General features: G+C 46.0%; 1 protein-coding gene across 2 annotated transcripts in view, besides 3 other annotated features; it reads left to right on the plus strand.

Annotated features, from left to right (window-relative positions):
* ST6GAL1 (ST6 beta-galactoside alpha-2,6-sialyltransferase 1) overlaps positions 1–24,538 on the plus strand; it is a 148,028-nt gene that overhangs the window by 26,932 nt on the left and 96,558 nt on the right. For both annotated transcript variants that reach the window (NM_173216.2, NM_173217.2), the window contains exon 2: positions 6,328–6,469. The gene's annotated coding sequence lies outside the window, so the exon portion shown is untranslated. The remainder of the gene's footprint in view (positions 1–6,327; positions 6,470–24,538) is intronic.
* Positions 1,617–1,666: an enhancer, noted in NCBI's record as "active region_20948". NCBI's record gives its function as "activates an Ori minimal core promoter by ATAC-STARR-seq in GM12878 lymphoblastoid cells {active_cell/tissue: GM12878}" and the evidence as "EXISTENCE:reporter gene assay evidence [ECO:0000049][PMID:35858748]".
* Positions 6,396–6,975: an enhancer, noted in NCBI's record as "H3K27ac-H3K4me1 hESC enhancer chr3:186681641-186682220 (GRCh37/hg19 assembly coordinates)". NCBI's record gives its function as "activates a minimal SCP1, AML or CMV promoter by ChIP-STARR-seq in primed H9 embryonic stem cells {active_cell/tissue: H9 hESC(primed)}" and the evidence as "EXISTENCE:reporter gene assay evidence [ECO:0000049][PMID:30033119]".
* Positions 18,042–18,923: an enhancer, noted in NCBI's record as "H3K27ac-H3K4me1 hESC enhancer chr3:186693287-186694168 (GRCh37/hg19 assembly coordinates)". NCBI's record gives its function as "activates a minimal SCP1, AML or CMV promoter by ChIP-STARR-seq in naive H9 embryonic stem cells {active_cell/tissue: H9 hESC(naive)}" and the evidence as "EXISTENCE:reporter gene assay evidence [ECO:0000049][PMID:30033119]".

The following is a 24,538-nucleotide window of genomic DNA, read 5'->3' on the forward strand; positions in this document are numbered from 1 at the left end:
AAGAAAAGAAAAATAAGAAGGATTATTCTAAGAAGCCCAACATCAGAATAGTAAGACTCGCAGAAAAAGAGAATAGAGACAATGAAAGGGAAAATTTATTAAAGAAATAATACAAGAAAAACTTTGAGAACATTGAAAGGACATTGAAAGGCCCACTTGAGTACCTGGGGCTGTGACTTGAAAAAAAGACATACACCAGAAGAAAAGCTTCTTGACAGGAGAAAATCCTCCCCCCAACCAAATGGATTATATATAACAATAGAAATATGATTGACATCATCTATCTCTACAGAAGCTAGGAGACAATGAAGCCATTCCTTAAATTCTGAGAGGCTAGTATTTCCAACTGAGAAATTATATCCTGACAAATTATTAATCAAATATGAGGGTGGAATAATGGCATTTTCAGGTATGAGAAGTCTCAATGATTTTATCTCCCACACAGCCTTTTTTGAGGAATCTATGATGCATTTGTTTCTCCAAAACTAGACAGTAAACTAAGAATAAATGGGATCTTCCTTTAAGCACAGAAAGCAACCACTTCAGGTTGAAGGAGGAGAATGGAAGGTTCCAGAAGGGAGATTTTTAAGAATTAAAAAAAAAAAAAAGATTAGTACATAATGGTATATTTAGTGTACTGTGATGAGTTTTATAGTTTTGTTGGAATGTTGAGGGCTGAATTCGTGACAAGTACATAGAAAGTTAAGCAGACAAACAAATGAGGTAATAATGGACTCTACAAATGGCAACTAAGAAATATACATGAAAGGAATTAATTGTAACACCACACATGGCTCAGCTATGAATAATAATTTATCTGGTTATAATAATGTAACTTAATAATTACTTGACAAAATAATGTAACTTAATAATATAGCTATTAGTGTTGACTTAATAAAAAATGGTATAACTATTGGGAGAATGTGGGACAGGAGAGGTGGTATATAGAATGGTGGTAAGGAGCTAAATCCTTATTTTCTATAATAGGAAGTTAGTGAATAATATCTAATATTGAAAAAAATCCAGAGCCATATAAGCGTGCTATTTAGATACACTGAGATGACTCTGGAAATAGATACAGGAGTTGAAAGACAGAATTAGGGATATGGAGGGGTGGGGCAGGGCCTGCTGTTTCTCCTTACAGCCTTGCAGTACCACTGGACCTTAAAAATCATTGGTGTGTGTTGCTTTGATTTAAAAAAGGGCTCAATGTGCCGGGTGCTGTGGCTCATGCCTGTAATCCCACTAATTTGGGAGGCCAAGGCTGGTGGATCACTTGAGGTCAGGAGTTCGAGACCAGCCTGGCCAACATGGTGAAACCCTGTCTCTACCAAAAATATCAAAAATTAGCCAGGTGTGGTGGCATGCACCTGTAATCCCAGCTACTCGGGAGGCTGAGGCAGGAGAATCGCTTGAACGTGGGAGGCGGAGGTTGCGGTGAGCAGAGATTGTGCCACTGCACTCCAGTCAGGGTGACAGAGCGAGACTCCATCTCAAAAAAAAAAAAAAATTAAATAAATAAATAAATAAATAAATAAAATAAAATAAGTTAAAAAGGGCTCAGTGTCTCCCCCTGTATCCAGATTGGCACCTAAAATAGGCACCCAATCAAAGCTGAATGATTGTTTGCTGTAGAGAACATATTAACAACACAATCAAATAAATGTGCAGAGGTACCCTCCTTTGGAAATTTTGCATATGGCAATGGCAGAAGAGCTTCCCTTTTCTGGTTCTCTAAATGCAGACACCTTTTCTCTTTTTGTCAGAGCTCACCCATGTACTCAGTGTGCAACTCATACTTAGTTTCAGCTCTTTGCTGGAATCTCTTGGCCTAGCACTAAAGGGAAGATAAAGAAAAGCCCCTGGGAGGCAGCTCTGGGAGGCAGCTTTGTGTGTGGAACTCTGGCTTAGTCACTTACCTGCTTTGTGCCCGTGCTGTCACCAAAGCTCTTGTCACCTCATCTGAAAATGGAGAAGACACTCCTCGCTTCATAGGCTTGTGTGAAGAATAAATGAATAACTTAGTACATAAAGCACCTGGCACACAGTAGTTGCTAACAAAAAAAAATTGAAATTAAAAATAAAGGAACATTTATGGTGAATATTATTAGGTCTAGGACAGGAGCCCCGTAATGTTGGATCTGGGCTCCCCATATGAACCATCAAGAAGGGATGTGAGCCCTGGGAGAGGAAGAGGGGGACAGAAATAATCCGGAAAGTCTCCTTATCTTAGCAGACGTTCTTACTGTGTTTTGGGTGCAGTGTCTTCTGATTTGACTGCTGTGTTCAGCAGATTTGTGGAGACCCAGATCCTGGAATGTTTTATGCACAAGGATCAATAAAAGCTCTTAGCTTATTTCACTTCCATATTCAAACATAATCAAAACCATTGCTCACATCTCAGACAATGTGGAAGAATGGCTCCAGGGTTAAAAGGGTTATCTCACGCTGAGGCTCCTGGGTGCTGAGTGGGGATGGCTCCTTGAAGCCAGGGGCTTGGGGCCACAGCCTTACTGCTGTGACAGGTGAACCCCTCCTCTGAGTCAACACAGAGCACTCGAGCAATGGTTCTGCTTTGAGGGGCTGGGCCATGAAATTCTTGGCTCAATTTATGAACTTCTTTGGGTTCCTTGGTTCCTGGTGAGCTCTCCAAATCCTGGTTCTGGGTCTGTGGTTGGTGCCTCACACATGGTACACTTACTTGAAGGAAACACTTGCTGGAGGCAAGAAGGAGTCACTGCGCCCAAGGCAGCCTCTCATTTAGCCACCCTCTTCCTTAGAATCATCTTCTGTGTCATCTAGATGCTTCTGGGTCTAAGGGCAGAGGAGAAAGGGGATTGGCTGAGCTGCTGCCAGGGGCTCTAGAGTTGGGGGACAGTGCAGTAAGGGCTGCCCCAAGAGATAAAACAGAGAACAGGCCCTGAGGAGAAGGAAGGAGTTGAGCACAATCTTGGCTGGCTGGGCCTCGAGAGGAAAGTAGAGAGACCAAATCTGGGTGTTAGGCCCAGTGACCCTTGTGGGATAGGAGGGAGGTCAGAGAGCAGAACTTGTGGTGACAGATTACAGAGCGTTATGAATTAAGTGGAAACTATATTAAAATGGCCAGGAAGCACGTGAGTAGATAGGAGGCTTGGGGACCCTATGATCAGCTGAATCTGCAGTGCTGAGTATGGTGATAGGAGGAAGTTATATAATCTACTTAATAGAAAAAAAAAACTTTAGAATTTAAGATAGAAGAGTCATCCAACTACACTTTAGCAATCTAGCGTGGTCCTGTCAGTAGATTTTTGTTTCGTTTTGTTTTCTGTTTTTTTTTTAAATTTTTTAAATCTTTTTTATTTTGAGATGGTACCTGCCAACCCTAGTGGCCCGCGGCCACTAGACTCACTACATACCTGCTGTCCTGGGCCTGCATGGTGTCCTGTCTACCTCTCCCAGGGCCTCTGCCCTGCTCTCTTTGTAGGCCAGCTTCCTCTCCTTCCATAGAGTCCCTGTAGCTCCATCATTTGATCTTTTTTTTTTTTTTTTTTTAGATAGAGTCTCACTCTGTCACTCAGGCTGGAGTGCAGTGATTGATCTCGGCTCACTGCAAATTTGCAAATTCCACCTCCTGGGTTCAAGCAGCTCTCCTGCCTTGGCTTCCTAGAAACTGGGATTACAGGTGCACGCCACCATGCCTGGCTAATTTTTGTGTTTTTAGTAGAGACAGGGTTTCACCATGTTGACCAAGCTGGTCTTGAACTCCTGACCTCAGATGATCCTCCCGCCTTGGCCTCCCAAAGTGCTGGGATTACTGGCATGAGCCACTGCGCCCGGCCCCATCACTTGATCTTGTGCATGGCATTTGCTTGTCATGGTTCCACCACTACCTTTCCCTTCACTCTAGGGTCTACCACCAGCTGACTAGAGTCTTTTTTCACAGTTGCAGTTTTGAAAGAGTGTCAGATTGGCCCAGCTTCCTTATGTATGGACGAATTGTCTTTAAGTCAGAGTTCTACCCTTTGTCCATCAGGGGAAGTCCAGATGAATGAGCAAGTGGGGTAGGGGCAGGGTGGGCAGGTAGAATGACTTGCCTAAATATTGGAGATCTGCAAACCATTTTCCAAAGGACTTAAGAAGCACAAAAGGAATCCCCCATTCCCTCATGAAGCTGCAGATTGCTATGGCTGGAGTGTAGGGTGCATGAGAGTGACAGGGCATGAGGCTGGTCAGCTGGAAAGGGGCATGAGACAGGTCCCCAAGGCTTTTGCCTGGGTCACAGGGCTGAGAAACCTAGTTATCTGTGTAGGTGAATTCTCCATCTCTCACTGAAAGTTTGGCCTGGAGTGAAAGGAAGGATACAAGAGCTGGCTAGGGAGAGATGGAGAGTGGAGTCTTCCTTCCTGTTAAGGAGGCAGAGCAGTCAGCCCAGCAGTGCCCACTCTACCTCCACCCCAGGAGCACTTTGCTCTTGTTCCCCCAGGAGGGCTCCTTGTGGGTGGCTCCTAGCTGACCACTAGCTCAGCTGTTTGCCTGTAAAGACCTCTTCCCTGACTGCTCTCATTTCCCCACAGTGACCCTGGCTCCTGGTGTTTTGTTGGCATTAATTACAAACAGCAGCAAAGTGCCCGAAGCCTCAAGCAACTTGTTCTTTTTCCGTCTCACCAGATGCCTTTGTTGTTCGCCCTGTTCTGTCCTGAATCTTTGTGAGGTCTTGACGTTACCACCCATCGCATGGCTCACTTCAGCTTCAGTTCTGTCTATCAGCATCTCCCGTCTCATGGGATGACTCTTGTTTCTCTTTGTATCTAAGGGTTTCTTTCCCCTGGACACCGTCCTTGTGTATCTATCACTCCCCTGTCCCTCCACGGGTTTCTCTTTCTCTCCTTACGAATTGTCATTCATGTACCCCTCTTTCCCAAGCTTGATTAGCAGAGTTCATTTAGCATAATGGGTCTTATCTTAGGCTGGGGCTGAGCTGAGTGTGAGCATGAAAAATGAAAAGTCAGACTTGGAGAACTGCACCTTCATTTCCACTAGAAATGGTTACACCAGGTGAACGAGGATATGTGGGTGAGGGAGGGGCTTGGGGGAGAGAGGAGTGTTAGGGGAATGGGCACATTTCTCCATTGCTGGGAGCAGTTTCTATGGTACCAGTAGTCCTGAAGGTAGCATGCTAAGACTGTTCAGAAGCCTGAAGAATTTGGAAGCTCTTTGACCCAGCACAGTTTTATTCCTAAGACTGTGTCCAAAGAAAATAATCATGGGACTCCCTGGAAGATTTTGTTTCAAACACTATTTGCCATTAGCCAAAAACAAAACAAAAGGCTGAAGATGACTTAAGTGTCCAGGCTTGGAGGGTTGGGTACAATTTATGGTACAGCTCTGTGGGGCACTATACATGGCTCATTGGAGATCCTTGGGTACGTATATATTATGCAGCCATTAAAATGATGCTGCTGGAGATTACTTACTGACACGGCACTTACTAAACCATGCCTAGCTTTATTACATCTTTATAAAAAATCTGAAAAATAAAAACAAGAAACAGGTAGAGTATGTTATCTGTAGTTATCTTGGATGAAGAAAGAATGGGTACATTTTGTCTTTTTCATTTAATTATATTTTCTAAAATTTATAGATTGAACATACTTTTTCTGACACAAGGAAACACAATTACTTTAAAAACAAATGCCCTCTATTCAGGCAACTATAATAATATATGGGTTGAAAATTTAGGATCAGTTAAAAATGCTTCCAAAATGAATTAGAAATTAAATTCACTTTAAAAAAAACTTTTTTTTTGAGACGGAGTTTCGCTCTTGTTGTCCAGGCTGGAGTGCAGTGGCACGATCTTGGCTCACTGCAACCTCCGCCTCCCGGGTTCAAGCGATGCTCCTGCCTCAGCCTCCCAAGTAGCTGGGGTTACAGGCATGAATTCACATTTGTAACAGCATAAACAACATACTATAGGTCAAAGGAGACTGTGAACAAGCTTGATGTAGTTGTTGATTGAAATCCATTGTCCGCAGGCCTTCTCTAAACACGAGACTTGGGCCCGATCTGTAGCTTTCTAACCCTTGCTTTTTCTTACCACAAGTAGTGAGTAGCACAAGGATTCCACGACTGTAGCAGAGTTTGCTTTGCCCAATCTGCAACTTACTCTCAAATTGTACAACCCCAGAGGGATGAGTCTGGGTGAACATGTAGCTCGTTTAGGTCCTGGAAAGGAGGCTGGCTGCCCCGGAGCTGGCAGTGGGAGGAGCAAAGACTCTTTCCTCCTGAATGTATTAACGTATGTGCTTCTGGTGAAACTTTGCTTTGTTGTTGTTTTTTAACCCTCTGCAGGCAAGGGGAGAGCCAGTTGCGCAGAGCCCTGCAACCAGCAGTCCAGGGAGAAGTGGTGAATGTCATGGAGCCCAGCTGAAATGGACTGGCCCCCTTGAGCCTGTCCCAAGCCCTGGTGCCAGGTGTCCATCCCCGTGCTGAGGTAAGACCCCCTGAAGCCCAGCCTGAGGAAGAGAGGACACAATGCCTTTTTTGCAGGGGCAGGAGGCAGAGGGCCTTCTCAGGAAAGAAGGAGCAGTTAGTTGTTTCTGGTTCAGTCAAACCATCTGCTTCAGCCTCAGCCCGTTGGGAGGCAAGGTCAATTGGTGGCCAAAGAGGCTTCTGCTTTGTCAGAGCAGGTCTTTGGAATCTTGATGGGAGTTGTATTTTCTCAGTTGCTGGTGAAATTTGAATTCCCAAGGGAATACATTTATCCTCCAGGTAAGACTGCACCGGATTCAGGTGAATGCTTAAGTATACCTCCTCTGCTCTGCAAGGGAGCTCTTGGGAAACACACACACACGCACACACACACGCGCGTGCCACGCTCTCTCTCTTTCAACCCAAGGGTGACAGAGTGAAACATTATGCAGAGAGGTTATTCCAAAACATTCTGGGAAGCTCACTAAAAATTGATTTTAATTACCTAGATATGTTCTGATTATAAAGGTAATAGGTGCTCATAGAATGATTGGAAAAATTCTGTTGTGGAAGAAAATACAATATATCTGAAACCCTGCCCCTGTTAACAATCCTCCAGGTGGTATTCTATTAAGGTTACTCTTTAAGCTTCCACAGGATGTTGATTTTTCCTGTGTGGAGGTAGAAAGGTGAGGCAGAAGGAGAACTTGTCCCTAATCTGGAAACTCTGTTTCCCAATTTTTATATATTCAAGAATTTTGCAAACTGCTTGTTAAAAACGATTAAAAACAATGGGTGGCTTGAAACTGACCACGATGGGGAAACTTATGCCATGGAAATGGGCAAGTGCTACAACCCAGGGCTTTTTTGTTTTGGAAATTCCGATTAGATAAGCAAGCTGCTGGTTTCAGGGCTTACCCTACCCCAGGCTGTGGGGCATCCGGCAAATCACCTCCCCTATGCATTCCTTCATTTCCTCACCTGTGAACGGTAGGTGCCCAGTAACATGAGTTGCGTGAATAAATGAAAGTGAGATTTCCGTCATTATTTCATACAACAATCGTGAGGGTCCCATAAAATAATGAAAACAGAAATGTTTTGCGTACAGTGAGCCTCCCTGCCCCTGTAGAGAGGGGCTTAGTTGACTGGGCAACCTTTGGTTTAGTGGTAGAAGTTGGCTGCATTTCCCCCTTTGGCTCTTGCTCCTTGGGGAGCCTTCGGATTACTGACACCCTTTTATAAAGGCAGATGAAAACCCACCATTTACTGGCCAACATCTGGGGCACATTTCCTTCCCGGAAAAGTCACGAAGTTGGTCAGAGAAGTGTGAAAAGGGAGCCTCAGCAATGCAGGACATAAGAGCCAGAACTGAAATCAGAGTTTTTGACTCATAATCTCTAATGCGGGTGTGGGGGACTTCCTGCCAAATGTGAAATTGCAACAAAAGCCTCTTTCTTCAAAGCCCTGCTGTTGCAGCAGATTAGAGCTAATAAATTAGCATAATGAAGTCCCAGCCTCTGTCCCCCTCCCTCTGCTTCCTGAATCTCTTCCTGTGTCCCAAAGGAGGGATAGGGAGCGGGTGGGACATCCGTTAAGCACCAGTTTATCCTTGTAGAATTGTAGGTTCAGAAAATTATAAAGGTGGTAAGGTCTACAGAGTCCATCTGGTCCCACACCCTCATTTTAAGAACCTCAGGCCACTGAGCTGGTGATTACCAGTGACTGAGGCGAAAGTACGTACTCCTGGGAGGAAGGGAGCTCAGGTGGAGGGGTGGAGGATGGAGCACTGCTCAGGAGGCCGCCTCCTCACAGAGCTTACATATAACTGGCAGGGAACGTGGTGGGTGGTCTCCAGGTGCCAGCCCTGCCTCTTCTCTTCCTCGTCCTTCCCCTGTATCTGAAGTCCCAGTGTACTTCCTGAGGTGCCTCTCTAGTGTGTTTGGACTTAAGGCCATCAGAGGCCTGGTTTTCTGGTCAGCAAAATCAACTAAGATCTTATTTTTTATTTTTTCGGGACAGAGTGTCGCTCTGTTGCGCAGGCTGCAGTACAGTGGTGCGATCTCAGCTCACTGCAACCTCCGCCTCCCAGGTTTAAGTGATTCTCCTGCCTCAGCCTCCCGAGTAGCTGGGATTCTAGGCATGGGCCACCACGCTGGCTAATTATTTTGTATTTTTAGTAGAGACGGGGTTTTACCATGTTGGTCAGGCTGGTCTTGAACTCCTGACCTCAGGTAATCCGCCTGCCTAGGCCTCCCAACGTGCTGGGATTACAGGTGTGAGCCATCGTGCCCGACCTAACTGAGATCTTATTCTGAGAATCTTTAGATCTATTTATGACAAAGGGAAGGAAGGGAAGAGGCTGTTGATTGAGCTCATGATGGTTCCCGGCACAGTGTTTTGTAATCTGTCTACATTATCTTATTTAATTCTGCAATGAGCTAACAAGGTATCTATCCCATGTCACGGATGTGGAAATTGGGTCTCACAGAGGTAAAGAGACTTCTGCAAGATTTCACAGCTCATAAGCAAAAGAGATACACTAAGGCTGTCTGTGACCTCCACAGCTTCTCAAAGCTAGTGAGTGCTCTTTATGGCAAGCACTTGCCCACGTGGTAGTTCCAAAATGCAGTTCCCACACACAGAGTCTCTCCCGTCGGGGAATATCATTCCATCTCGGAAGCTCTGTGAACAGCTGCAGCTCAAAGTGCTTGGAGCTTTGCAAAATGCTACACTGTTCCTTTCAAACCCCAAGGTCTCTTCCTTGTAGTGTAAGATAGCACCAGAGCTGGGAGCATTTATAGAGTGCTATAGTGTAGTCCTCTCATTCAGCTGATGCCCCAGGAGGTGAGGCCCAGTGGTGCTGGGCCCCCAGATCTCCCCGCCAGTTAGAAGCAACAGGCGTGTCAGTCCCTGGACTCTCAGAACTGTTTCCCGGGGAGCGCACAAAGACAGATATGCTTGCGTTTCCTCTGCAACTCGGGAAGAGATTATTCCTCTGGCTAGGGGGATTTAATTCAGTTCCACAGATACTTACTGAAAGCCTACTATGTGCCCTGCCAAATATCTCAGCTTGTTTGGGCAAGAAACTCTGGCCCACACTTGGACATACAGATCTGACAGGGACAAGAGGAGGAGCTTCCATACTTCAAGGCTGTTTAGTACCTTCTTTTTCCGTCCGTTCTGTCACCACTCATGTCCAGCCTTTCCTTCAAGAACTCTAAAGGAGAAATTATGTCTCAAGTAGCTGTGTGTCCAGGGTTTCCAGACTCCTGAAGAGGTGTTTTTTTGTTTGTTCGTTTGTTTTTTAGACGGTGTCTTGCTCTGTTGCCCAGGCTGGAGTGCGGTGGCGCAATCTCAGCTCACTGCAACCTCCGCCTCCTGGGTTCAAGCGAGTCTCCTACTTCAGCCTCCCAAGTAGCTGAGATTACAGGCGCCTGCCACCACACCCAGCTAATTTTTGTATTTTTAGTAGAGACGGGGTTTTGCCATGTTGGCCAGGCTGGTCTCGAGCTCCTGACCTCAGGTGATCCACATGACTCAGTCTCCCAAAGTGCCGGGATTACAAGTGTGAGCGACTGCGCCTGGCCCGAACACAGAGTTTTAAGTACCTAACTTGCTAACTGGGGAACAAACCAGCAGATGGGGGAGGGAGTCAGGGTCTTTGGAAGATACCTACTGAGGGACAGGGCTGAGGGGAGGAGGCAGAGTGGCAGAGGGAGTGATTTGGGGAGGCACTGCTACGTGGAGGTGGTGCCCTGCCTTCAGCTTTGGCTCAGCAGGGCACTCAGAACATGAATTACAGCCGAAAGAGCTCCTTGGAAGGCTTGATCGTTAGCCATCACGTCTTTCACTTAAGGAAATGGAGGCCCAGAAAGGGGAAGGATGTTATTTGCAGCATGAGAGGAATTGGAGTCTGTTCTGCTGACTGTCTGGTCAGGTCCTTGACACAAAACCACCGTGGCAGTAGAGGCCAGGGTGTCCTGGGGAGCCGGCACAGCCCACTTCCTGCCTTAGCCCATCTGGCCCGGGATGGGCTGGCTTTGGCTGTTGGAGGTATTTGTGGCAGTGGCAATCCAAGAGAGAGAGGGTGTCATTTTAGTGATGCCAGAGATCTCCTGCAGCCCCAGCCCCTCATTCTCATTTGGAGCCTTCTTTGAGGTCTTGCTTAGGCCGGGGAGTTATGGCCTGTGGCTTCAGGTTGGGAATTTGCCACTGTAGAAAGGCATCACAGTACGGAGAAAAGTGGCCCAGCTTTGAAGCCATTTGACTTGGGTCTGAGCCTGACCTGACCATAGCTGCATGACCTCCCGGCTTTCTGATCCAGTTTCATCATCTGTAAAATGGGCCGAATAATACCTACCTTGAGTGAAGATGAATAATTATTTATATAAAGTTTTTTCCCCACAAAGTAGATGCCTATTAGATGGTACCCATTAATCTTGTTTTATATACCCTTATTGAGGTGTAATTGACAGACAAAACCCTGCACATACTTAAATTGTACAACTTGGTGAGTTTTGACATATGTATACGGTCATGAAACTATCCCCACAATTAAGCTAATGAACATAACGATTACCCCTAAAAGTGTCCTTCCGAGCTTTATCCCTCCTTCCTGCCCCCTTCCATCTCCTGCCCTCCATCCTCAGGCAACCACTGGACTAAGCTGCTTTCTCACACTATAGGTTCGTTTGCATTTTCTGGAGCTTTATGTAAATGGAATTATACAGCATGCATTTTTTTTTCATTCAGCGTAATTATTTTGCTGTTCATCAATGTTGTGTGTATCAGTAGTCCTAGTTGTGGATATACCACAATTTATTTATCCATTTACTTGTTGACACACATTTAGGTTGTTTCAAATTTTGGACTATTAAAATAAAGCCATTAGAATCATTTGTGGAAAAAAATGTTGTGGGGACATAAGTATTTATTTCTCATGAGTAATCTCCTAAGAGTAGAGTGGCTGGGTCATGTGGTGGGCGTTTGTTTAACTTTTAAAGAAGCTGCCAAACTGTTGCCTAGAGCACGGGTACCATTTTATATCACCACCAGCTGTGTACTAGAATTCCAGGCACTTCACTTCCTTGCCAACACTTGGTATGATCTATCTTTTTCTTTTTCTTTTTTTCTTTCTTCTCTTTTTCTTTTTTTTTTTTTTTTTTGAGACAGATTCTCACTCTGTGGGCCAGGCTGGAATGCAGTGGCGCAATCTCAGCTCACTGCAACCTCTGCCTCCGGGGTTCAAGCGATTCTCCTGCCTCAGCCTCCTGAGTAGCTGGGATTACAGGCACCTGGCCACCATGCCTGGCCTATTTTTGTATTTTTAGTAGAGACGGGGTTTCACCATGTTAGCCAGGCTGGTGTTGAACTCCTGACCTCAAGTGATCTGCCCGCCTCAGCCCCACAAAGTGCTGGGATTACAGGCGTGAGCCACAGCGCGCAGCCCATCTTTTTCATTTTAATAGGTGTATGGTGATATCTCATTGTGTTTTTTTGTGCATTCCCGTAAACACTAATGATATTGAGCTTCATTTTTATGTGCTTTGTTTGCCACCTGGATGGCTCCTCTGGTGAAATGTTTAGATTTTTTTACCCATTTAAAGAAAATTGGGTTGTTTGTCTTCTTATGATTGAGTTGTAAGGTTTCCTTATATATTCTACAGATAAGTCCTTTATTGGATATGCTTTGCAAAATTGTTCTCCAATTCTGTGGCTTGTACATGACAGGAGATGGAAGCAAGTAAGCTAATTATTGCAATTCAGTTGAATAAGTGCTGTGCACAGGAAGTGCAGAGGAAGAGCGGTGATCTCAGGATGGGGAGTCAAGGAAGCTTCCTTAAGGAGAAGCTATATGAATTGGATCTTAAAGGAAATGAAAAGTTATCTAGGCGAGGGAAGGGTAGCCTCAGTAGAAGTTCGTATGTGCCAAGGCATGGAAACAGGAAACGTCGTGGTACACACAGTACTATGAATAATTTGACCTGGTTGGAACACCAGGATTTTGGAGCGAAGAGTCTGAACTGGAATCCCAGTTTTCTTACTGGCTGGGTGCCTTTTCTTTTTATTTAACTTTTTATTTGGAAACGATTGTAGATGCACAGGAAGTTGAAAAGATAGTACAGAGACTCCTGATGCATCCTTCCTTTAGTTTCTTGTTTCTTCTTACATAATTATAGTACAATATCAAAACCAGCCATCTGAGATTGGTACAACATGTGTATAGTTTGTGTCATTTTCTCTTGTGTGTAGGTTAGTATAGGCATCCCTAGAATCAAGATAGAGAACTATTTCTTTTTCTTTTCTTTTTCTTTTTTTTTTTTTTTTTAAGACAGAGTTGCACTCTGTCACCCAGGCTGGAGTGCAGTGGCGCGATCTCAGCTCACTGCAACCACCGCCTCCCAGGTTCAAGCAGTTCTCCTGCCTCAGCCTCCCAAGTAGCTGGGTTTACAGGTGCCTGCCACCACGCCCGGCAAATTTTTTTTTTTTTTTGTATTTTTAGTGGAGACAAGGTTTCACTGTGTTAGCCAGGATGGTCTCTGTCTCCTGATCTCATGCTCCGCCTGCCTCAGCCTCCCAAAGTGCTGGGATTATAGATGTGAGCCACTGCGCCCGGTGGATACAGAACTATTTTATCATCAAAAAGGTCTTCCTTGTGCTGACCCTTTTTTGTCACCCTGCCCCCACCTCTGTTTTTCACTTCTATAATTTTGCCTTTGGAGAATATTCTCTAAATAGGATCATACAATATACAACCTTTTGAGGTTGGCTTTTTTGCACTCATCATAATGCCCTTCAGGTCTACTAAAATTGTTGAATTTATCAATAGTTTGCTCTTTTTGTTAAATTACCGAATAGTATTCCATGGTATGCATGTATCACAGTTTAATTGTTTGCCTATGGAAGGGCATTTTGCTTAATTTCAGTTTTTGGCTATTACAAGTTAAGCTGCTATGAACAATTGTGTTCTGATTTTTGTGTGGACATAAATTTTTGCTTCTCTGATATAAATGCCGAGGAGTTCAATTGCTAAGTTGCATGGTGAGCATATTATTTTGTTTTTGAAGAAACGGCCAAACCATTTCCTAGAGGGGCTGTATCACTTTACATGCCCACCAGCAACATAATCCACTTCCTCCACATGCTTGCCAGCATTTGGTGTTGTCACTTTTTCTCAACTTTAGCTGTTCCCTTGTTTTTGGACACGGAGTTTCACTCTTGTCACCCAGCCTGGAGTGCAGTGGTGCTATCTTGGCTCACTGCAACCTCCACCTCCCGGGTTCAAGCGATTCTTCTGCCTCAGCCTCCTGAGTAGCTGGGATTACAGGTGTGCGCCACCATGCCTGGCTAATTTTTTTGTATCTTTAGTAGAGACGGGGTTTTGCCATGTTGGCCAGTGGCCAGTCTGGTCTCGAACTCCTGATCTCAGGTGATCCACGTGCCTCGGCCTCCTGAAGTGCTGGGATTATAGGCGTGAGCCACTGTGCCCCCCCAACGTTAGCTGTTTTAATAGATGTGTAGTGATATCTTATTGTGGTCTTAATTTGTGTTTCCCTAACAGCTGGTTGTGTGCCTCTCTTTCTGCTCCCCCAGTCTGGCTGTCTGAATCTAGACCACAGCCTGTACTCCTTAAGTGTTGGAAGCAAGAAGATTTGGTGCTGACAAACCCCCTCCCATCATTTTCAGAGCTGCCCCAGGAATCTGACTTCCTTGTTCTTCAGCCCAGTTCACCAGTTATAGGAAATCTTTAGTCATTGTCCTGGGTAGCCCATGAAAAGTGATATTTTATAGAGCTGTGTATTTTTCCAGGGAGGATTGTTTTTGTTCACAGATGAGCAAACATCCTGTAAGTGCTGATTTTTCACTGTGCTTTCCACCCTGTTCCTCCCTGGTGCCAGCGTGCCAACATCTCTACTTACTGGCAGCCTAGTTGAAGAAACCTCTAGAGTTGGCCCAGGAGGACTGTTTTCTCAGTGTTTAGAGATCATACAGTGCCAAGGGCAGCTGCCATGGCCTCAAGCCTTCCCTAGCTCAGCATCTTCTACTCTTTCCTCTTACAGATGGAGAGGCAACTTCAATGCACTGGGGAAAGAAACGAACAATGACAGTGAATGATGATATTGCACTTCTTATGGACCAGGCTCTAAGTGTTTTATGTATATTAATTCACTTAATCCCCATGACAACCCTAAGAATTGGGTACAATTTATAACTCCATTTTATAAATGAGGAAACAGGCATAGAGAGGTCTCATAGCTAGTAAGTTGGAATTTGAACCTGGGGAGTAGGACACCCAGGTCTGTCCTCTTAGTCATTATGCTATGCTACCTGCTACTTTCTTACTTTCTTTTTTTTTTTTTGAGACAGGGTCTCACTCTGACACCCAGGCTGGAGTGCGCCTGGGAGGGATGTCATCTCACTGCAACCTCCACCTCCCGGGTTCAAGTGATTCTCATGTCTCAGCCTCCCAAGTAGCTGGGACTACAGGCACGGGCCACCACACCCAGCTAATTTTTTGTGTTTTTAGTAGAGACAGGGTTTTGCCATGTTGACCAGGCTGGTCTCAAACTCCTGACCTCCTGTGATCTGCCCGCCCCGGCCTCCCAAAGTGTTGGGATTACAGGCGTGAGCCACCATGCCCGGCCACTGCTTGTTACTATGTGTACATTACCTGCACTAGGGTGGATAGAACCTCATGTGGCACACACATGACGCCACATAACACGGCTCATGTGTTCACAGTGCCCAGCACAGAAGCATGCACATAGTAGGTGTTTATTTAAAAAAGTTGATTGAATGCTGAATGAGTGAGTGGGCACTCTTCACTGACGAACTGGGGTAAGGCACATACTCCCTGTTTGATTTCAGTGTAGCACTGCCCTATAGCTGGGCAAACACCTTGGTGTCTCCCCTTAGGAGCATGTGGGAAGAAGAGGAGGATTTGCCATGAGCTTTCTCTGGGACAGGAGCAGTTTGGGATGTTGAGATGGGAAATGGAGTATTGAGAAGTGAGTGTATTTCCAGGGGGAATGGAGAGGTCTTTGGAGACCTGCATTGGCCATGGGCTCCCCAGTTGTGAGTGGGCTCAGGCTCTGGATCACCGCTGGGAAGATACCCTTCTATTTATTTATTCATTATTTTTATTTTTGAGATGGAGTTTTGCTCTTGTTGTCCAGGCTGGAGTGCAATGGTACAATCTCAGCTCACTGCAACCTCCGCCTCCTGGGTTCAAGTGATTCTCCCACCTCAGCCTCCTGAGTAGCTGGGATTGCAGGCGCCCGCCATCATGCCCAGCTAATTTTTATATTTTTAGTAGAGACAGGGTTTCACCATGTTAGTCAGGCTGGTCTTGAACTCCTGACCTCACGTGATCTGCCCGTCTTGGCCTTCCAAACTGCTGGGATTACAGGCGTGAGCCACTGCGCCCGGCCCTCTTCTGTTTTCTGAGTCTCCTGTGCACTCAGGGCTGGCTCACATATACTGCAGGAAGAGGCAGGAGGAGGATGACACAGGGGACTGGACCTTGGAGGATAGCACATGATTGCACTGGCCCTCAGATTTTCAACCCCCTGCCTGTGCAGCAGTAACCTTGACTGCATTGTAGAGACTCCCATCCACTTCATCTCACCCTTGCCCATCAGGGGTGTCTGGGAAAGAGAGGTTTCTAGCCTGACAGATCTGAGTTCCAATTGCAATGCCTCAGTTGCCTCACCTGTAGACAGAGCAATAATAATAGCTGGTTTGTAGATTGTTGTGAGGGCAAAGTGGAGAAGTGTCTTAGGGAGTGTTGGCTCCCTCTCCTAACTCTTTGCCTCTCCTCCTCTCCTGGAGGCCCTCTTCATGAACACCCAGCTGTAGGGCAGTGCTGCACTGAAAGAAAACGGGACATGTGCCTTACCCAAGTTCAGTCAGCGAAGAGTGTCCATTCACTCATTCAGCATTCAATCGACTTTTTAAATGAACACCTACTGTGTGCTTGCCTCTGTGCTGGGCACTGTGAACACATGAGCCATGGCGCTTGACCTCCTGTAGCATGTGAGCTAAAGAGAGAGAGACAAATGCTAATTAAATAGTAACACAATCAAATGTGAAACCGTGAATTGTGGGGGTTGCTGTGGAGGAAGCTCTGTGGTGTTGCGTGAATGAACCACAGCCTGGGAAGCCAGTGGATAGATACTTCCTCGGGAAAGTGATTTCATCCTGGGGTTTGACTCTCTAGCTTTGGGCCACTGGAGAGGCCAGTGTGGAAGATTCAGTAGGATCAGTCCACTTTATGCTATATCCTGACTATAGGCTGACCAGGCGCCTGGCCACCCCAGGGCCCTCACCCCGCCTCCAACAGCCTAGACCGTTCCTTGAGATTACCCATATCCAACCATCCACAGGTGCTGCCGATACTGCAGGAACCGACTGAGCTTGGATCCCACACCTTACAGACCCGGAGCATCTTTTCTGTTGTTTATTTTTGGGTTAGCTCATAACTCACTTTATCACTCAGCCGAACAGTGAGCCACCATGGACCATGGTGGTTTTGATCATCATACAGATATTTAAAGACAACTTTATTGAGGTACAGTTTATATTCCATGAAATCAACCCATGTTAAGTATACAATTCAGTGATTTTTTTTAGTAAACTTACTGAGCTGTGCAGTTGTCACCACAATCCAGTTATAGAACATTTCCGTCATTAGTGGGGTCAGCTTTAGATGCAAAAGACAGGAGAATTATTTTTGTTTTTATGGGATTAGTTCTGTGCTCCCAGCAGGAAGATCTCATTAATTAATTAATTAATTCAATTAGTATTTACTGAGAGCCTGGTTGGGGGGGGGGCGCCCACAGCAGGGTTGGGTGCAAAGGGAAATAAATAAATAAACAAGTGGTGGGGGCTGCTTCACTGTGGCTGATGAGCTTCCACTGTCAAGTGTAGCCTAACTTGCCTGCTCAGGTGGGGTTCATGGCAGCTGCAGGGCAGGTTTCTGCTTTCTACCCTGTAACTCTTATTGGAAGGCAAGGCAAAGGCCTTCTTTTGCAATACCTGGTATTGCAGTGAATTATTGACTGAGCAGACAGAGAGACGTGTCCTCGCCAACATCTACAAATAGCTCTGGGCTTTGGCAGGCCTGGATGCAGGATCTTGGAAAAGAGGAGCGTGGGTCTGCTGTTTACAGTGCAAAGATTTGACAGGTGAAATTGGGGCGAGGGTGCGCTGAGGGAGGAAAGGAGTGCAGGCAACGTCAGGGCCGGTGGCCAGGGTGAATCCAGGGAAGCGGGTGCCTGTGTGCACGGTGGGTGTTGCTTGGAGGCTGGGGAGTGAGTGGGAGTATGGCCTTGTATACTAGACTGAGAGGCATTTGCACTTAATGGAGTAAACATGGAAGATGCAATTTCAGTGTCTGAGGAGGAGCTTAATGATTCAGAGCTGGACTTCAGGAGATTAATCTTTTGTGAGAAGATAAGCAAGGGATGGGTTGGGAGACTGTTGTGAGGGTCCTAGTATTAGATGATGTGGACTTGACTTGGACAGGGGCATTGAGGCAAGGAAAGAAGAAGTGCAGGGGAGAGAAAGTTCTGCCAGGTGATGGGGAGTGATTCTTCTCTGTCCCTGAGGTTCGTACCTGCCTGGCCATCTGCCTTTTGCTGTTCAACCAGTCTCCCTCTGCCTGTCCACAACTGAACTTCCCCACAGTGTGTTCTTCCATGGCCTCTTTGTACTCTCCCATCCACTTCTTCCCTCTTGTTCTACTTCTCTTGCCCAGGAGGAAGGAGAGGATCCAGCGAAAGAGATGGAGAGAAACAGAACACTGTACCCATGAAAGGCAGTGCCAGGGCAGGCAGTGGAGAGAGACTTCCAGAGAGGGTGGCTGGCTGTGCCAAACGCCACAGAAGTGAGTGAGGCTGGCACTGAAGGAGGTCTGGGGGACTCACGATTGGGACTAGGGTGAGACCTCCCTTACCTCATCCCAATCCTGGCCCTGGGAGGAACTGGGGACCTCGGAGAAAGCATTAGTTTACAACAAACTGGACCAAGTGTGGGACTGTTTCTTCTGAGGACAGCCTCCCAGCCTCCCATAGGAAACTGCCTGCAACTGCTCGGGACCCACTGGTCTCCTTCTTCCCCACCCCAAGACAGCCCCTCAGGGTCTCCACGGGCTCGCTAGAGTTCCTGCACACAGTTTCAAGACCACAGATCAAACTCACCTCCCTGCATCCTACCACAGAGAACTCTGAGACCCAGCAAAGTACCTGACTTGTCCAAGGTCATCCAGTGAGGTGTGACCTTGTGGGTCTTTCCTTTGCTTTCCTTTGATTTCTCATCTTCAGTTGGTTTACGCTCTCCTTTTATTCACCTCCCCCAACCTTCCCCTCCTCCGTAAGAATTGGAAACAGAGAGTTGATAGTTGAGGTCTGATTTATAGCTGAGGATTGAGGTCAAATTTGTAGCTGAAGATTGAAGTCCATTTACTGAGTGCCTACTTCTACCAAGCATTGTTTTAGAGGTGTTTACATACATCATTTTATTTCATTCTTTTTTTTTTTATTTGAGATAGCGTCTTGCTCTGTTGCCTAGGCTGGAATGCAGTGGCACTATCTCGGCTCACTGCAACCTCCATCTCCCGGGTTCAAGCGCTTCTCCTGCTTCAGCCTCCCAAGTAGCTGGAACTACAGGCATGTGCCCCCACACCCGGCTATTTTTTACATTTTTGGTAGAGACAGGGTTTCACCATGTTAGCCAGGCTGGCCTCAAACTCCTGACCTCAAGTGATCCACCTAGTTTGGCTTCCCAAAGTGCTGAGATTACAGGCATGAGCCACTGTGCCCGGCCTTAATTCTTATAAGACCCTTTCAAAGTAGGTGTCATTACCCTATTTTCCTGATGAAGAAATAGAGGCTCCTAGAGACTGAATGGCTTGCTTACCTTTGTATAGTTACTAACTGGTGCTGCTGGTTTATATTCTCTCCCCACGCATGTATTTCTTCAGTCACTCATATTTACCTAGTGCTTTAATGCCAGGCACTGTTTTAGGTGCTGATACCATATGAATAAAGGACACAAAAATCCTGCCAAGACCTTCTCCATTTGTGGCTTGCTTGCCAGAGGAGATCGGCTTGTTCTTTATAAAGTCTCCTGTGCTAGATGTCTCAGGGCTGGGTATAGCAGCTGCTGTGTTTATTGGCTATTGCTGAGATGAAATTCATGACCCGATTTGCTCCTCAGCCAGCAAGGCATGTGGACTTCTTTCTGTCTGCTTCCGGGGGTCTCTGAAGCCTTCTGCTGAAACTGCCCCTAGGCGAGATAGTTTATTCTGTAAGGAGTGTGACTGTGGCTCCCTCCCCCACGGCTTCTCCCCCATTTCTTTGCTTTTATCACCAGCGGTTTCCCTTAGCCACCACCGCTAGCAGAACCCTGATTTAGTTCCACGATTTAGCCCTGATAAAGGCGAGCTATTTTGGCTTCCTCTGCCCTAAGCCCCAGGGAGAATTTGGACTCAGTGTTTTCACTTGTCATTTTAGACTGTTGGCCAGAGTTTGCGGAAGAAGGCCTGTATTATTAATGCCCTTGCCGGGAACAGCTGCACCCTGCCAGGTTGTCATGTGAGACCTCTGAAAAGCTCAGAGCTACAAGGCCCACAGCTCTCCTGGGCCCACTGGGTCAGGTGGGAAATATGATCCTACAGAAACTGCAGGCAGCCAAGGAGGGCGGAAGGCAACTTGGAAGGAACTGATCAGTCTCACGCAGGAGACACAGCCGTCCTCTGAGCGCCTCAGGAGGGCTAATTCCATCCCGTGCCTCCAGGGGCCTGCTGTATTTGAAGATCTTTTAGCCTGAGGGATTTTATCACATCATATAAAAGACACATAAAATAAAAATGAAGATATTAATAATCAGTTTAATAATATTTAGAGAGCCATTATTCCTTGTAGTGGTCACTATCCTCATCACTTGAAATAGTTTTAATTTTCAGTACAAGCCTTTGAAGTGAATGGGACTTGTTATTGCCATTTAATAGATAAGAAAACAGTCTCGGCCGGGCGTGGTGGCTCATGCCTGTAATCCCAGCACTTTGGGAGGCCAAGGTGGGAGGATCACCTGAGGTCAGGAGTTCGAGACCAGCCTGGCCATGGTGAAACCCCATCTTTACTAAAAATACAAAAATTAGCCAGGCGTGGTGGCGCACACCTGTAATCCCAGCTACTTGGGAGGCTGAGGCTAGAGAATCGCTTGAACCCAGGAGGCAGAGGTTGCAGTGAGCTGAGATCATGCCACTGCACTCCAGCCTGGGTGACAGAGCGAGACTCCGTGTCAAAATAAAAATAAAAGAAAAAAGAAAAAACAGTCTCAGAGAGGTTAAGGGAATTACCCAAGGTTATGCCAGGTAGTAAAGGTAGAGGTGGAATTTGAACATAGTCTATCTAGCTGGAAGCTCCTGCCCCTTTCAGGATGCTGTGAGCCACTAGACACATCATATTTCTCTGACTCCTCCTCAGTTTATCTGTGCAGTTGGTTCCCACTCCTCTCTCTCCACGTTACTCTGTTAACAGCTTCTGGAGCCTGGTGTTCCAGGAGGGACTTGACCAGAGTTCACTATCTGCTGAGCCAGGGGTTAGCTGGGTGGATGGTGGGGCTGCAGGCCAGACCAGGAGCCAGAAAAGATGGTCTCTGGCACCCTTTCCTTTATTCACGGAAATGGCCCCTCTTCACCTCTTCGTGCTCCATCAAAGCTCCTTTTTAGTGCTGGGAGCACACCACGGAGTTTAGAGAAAACAATCTAATAATGTTATTTGCTTGCTTAGAAAACCTCCACCAGTCCCAGTTGCTTGCAGGATAAATTGGGACTAGAAATACCTCTGTCTGGAGCAGATGTCCTGTCGAAGACCATTTCTCATCACTGCAGCCCTTATACCCTGTCCCACCTCACAGCTTCTCCCCATCCCTGAACACAATGGGCCACTTTCATGACTGAGCCTTTGCACTGCTATTCTCTGTTGGGCATGCCTTGCTCTGCTTGGTGAACTCCTGTTCAAACTTCAAAACCCAGGATGAACTTTACCTTTTCTGACTTCTGACTTCCTCTAGTAGAGTTGGCACCACCTCCTCGGCCCTTAGTTTTTAATGCTTTACATGATTTTCCACCCACTAGTTTATGGTCTTTTCTCTAAGACCTCAGCAGCAGGAGCTGGGCCCTATTTATTTCTGTATCATCTGTATTTGGGGCATATTTGTGTGAACAAATGAATGAGGGCTCATTGTAAAACAAACTGTATATAAAGTGTGAGTCACAGGTGGCCCCACTTTAACTGAAATGTTAGGTTAGGTTGGGGGAATTCAGAGAAAGGAGAGGTGATACCCTGAGGCCTAGCGTTATTGATTAGTTGACCAGTGAGCTATGCACTCTGCCTGGAGCATTACTGCAAATGAGCCTAGGACCTATTGAGAGAAGGTCCCAGGGGTGAAGTAACAGTGGGAGGCCTTACAGTTGGGAAGTGAAGCTTAGGTCTTCCCTGTTCTCCAGGCCAGACTCAAACTCTGTGCCTGATCTGCTTCCCAAGAGAGGAACTCCTTGGGCAGACCTGGAGAAAAAGTGGGGATTTTGGATGGTCCCCAAAGGAGGGTAGGGGTAGAAGAGGAGTCGAAACAGAGACAGGAGGAAGTCCAAGACAAACTTTCCTTCCTTAATACATAGTGCTCGGGGGCATCCTTCTGGCTGTAGCATCTGCGTAATAGCTGCTCCTAAGAATGCAACGTGAGCTGAATTCAAACATGAATTTGGAGCCAGTACCTGAATATGTGGGTTGTTCTATGCCACCGGGCCCCCTGCCTGTTTAATTTCTCCTTCCCCTGCTGCCAAGGCTTCCGAGAAGTTGCTGTGTAGGTGCTTAATGCTTCGGAGATGGTCAGGTATGAGTTTAAATCCTGGTCTCGGGCACTTTAATTGCTAATTGTGTAGCACTGAGCAAAAATAATAGGGATGCAGCTTTTATAGCACCAATCAGGTCAGTGATGTTGGTGATACTGTTGAGAGCTTACTATGTGCCAGGCATTATGCTAAGTGGTTGATGACCATTATCTCATTTATTCCTCCGTATACCCTACAGGCAGATGCTGTCATCATTCTGAAATTCCAGATACGTAACTGAGGTTCAGAGAGGTTAAGTAAGTTGCCTGAAGCCATAAAACAAACGATGATGGAATCAGATCATGGATCCTGATATGTCACACCTTAACCATTGTGCCATTGGTCTACAATTTGCCTGATCCTAAGAATCACCTGAGACTCTTGTTAAAAGAGCAATTCCCAGGCCCTGTCTCAGATTCAGATTCAGCCCAGCTGGGGTGGAGCCTGGGGAGCAGTGGATGCAGCGGGCACCCTGGATGATACTAGGATCTGGCAAGTTTAAGAAACGCTATATTGTGCCTTCCTGCCTGTAAGTTGTGGCTCATGGTTGGCCCTCAAGAAATGTTAGCTGTTAGTATTATAATATAAATGAATTGAAAGGACAGCTTATTGTGAAAGAATATACGTCTTTAAAAAGCTTATTAGTCCTGACACTAGATTTTAAAGATAGAGGTCGGATGGGCGCGGTGGCTCACGCCTGTAATCCCAGGACTTTTGGAAGCCAAGGCAGGTGGATCACGAGATCAAGAGATCGAGACCATCCTGGCCAACATGGTGAAACCCATTCTCTACTAAAATTACAAAAAAAAAAAAAAAAAAAAAATTAGCCAGGCAAGGTGGCAAGTGCCTGTAGTCCCAGCTATTAGGGAGGCTGAGGCAGGAAAATCACTTGAACCTGGGAGGTGGAGGTTGCAGTGAGGATCACCCCACTGCACACCAGCCTGGGTGACAGAGACTCCATCTCAAAAAAAAAAAAAAAAAGATAGAAGTCAAGGGGAAATAGATTCTGGATCAATGAATCTATACTCTAATACTCTAAACTCAAAACTATCTGCAAGTGGGATGTGTGCCTTTATAGGTCCCTGTCACTAGTGGTCAAGCAATCAGTGCCATCACGTGTTGGGTGTGATGGCTGAGCTGTTCTTCAGGGACCCATTCCTCAGTCAGTGTCTGCTGTATACATGCAGCTGCAGAGGACATTTGTGCACTGAGGAGGGCTTTGGGTGTGTTAATATTCTAGAAGAGGTGGAGTAGAGCAGCTATGCAAAGCAAGGAAGAAGGCAGGAGGTGTTAAAAGAAAAACTTTAGAGAAAATAAATGTAGCAAAGTTCATCTGAGCAAAGAACCATGTGTGAATTGGACAGCACTCAGAACCAGAAGAGGTTCAGAGAGCTCTGCTGCCGCAGTGAGGACAGTGAGCTTTTGTAGGCTGAACGTGGAAAGAAGGCTAAGAAAATATATTTTATTAGAGTGGGAAGACCCTAGTTAGAGGTTAGTTGGTGGTTTCTGATTGGTGAAGCCTCTAGTTACATTTTACTGTTTACATTGATTTGGATTTTGGTTTGCTTATGTAGAAGCTCTGGTTATGGAGACAACCTCAGGCTAACGGCCTCCTTCTTATTTGCTTTAACAGAGGGATGGCAGAGGTAGAAGACAGCAGATATTTGAGGGCCATCACTACTGCCTTGTACCGTGGGTAACCTGCATGAAGTCTTCTCTGTAGCTTCAGAGCATCTAGATCCGCTGTCATGCCACCAATACACTAAGGCACTTCATTTTCCTCAGGGAGACTGATGATGTCTTGTTATCTCTTATTAGCATTCCAAGTCTTATCTTATTTTTGAATTCTCAAGGTCCATTTTTGGGCATATAAATTACTGAAGGCAGTCAGGAAATATTGTTCCATCAGAGCTGGGAGAAAGACTCAACCCTTATCCTGGTCCATTGACCTATTTCCAACCTCAGCTTTGATGACAAAACTCAGCAGAAGCTTTCTTACAGACTAAGAGCACTTTATAAAACACTGCTTAAAGCTGAAGGAAACCCTCTGAATGACCACCCTTGAATACCTCCTTTACTAAGACCCATGATTATCTGGGAGTTAGAATCCATAATAATAGCTGCCACTGTGCACAGTGATTGTGTGCTGGGTGCTTTACATCTATTTTCTCATTTAATTCTCCTAACAACTCT

Source organism: Homo sapiens, chromosome 3 (genome assembly GCF_000001405.40).
Source record: "Homo sapiens chromosome 3, GRCh38.p14 Primary Assembly".
In the NCBI taxonomy this organism is placed as follows: Eukaryota; Metazoa; Chordata; class Mammalia; order Primates; family Hominidae; genus Homo; species Homo sapiens.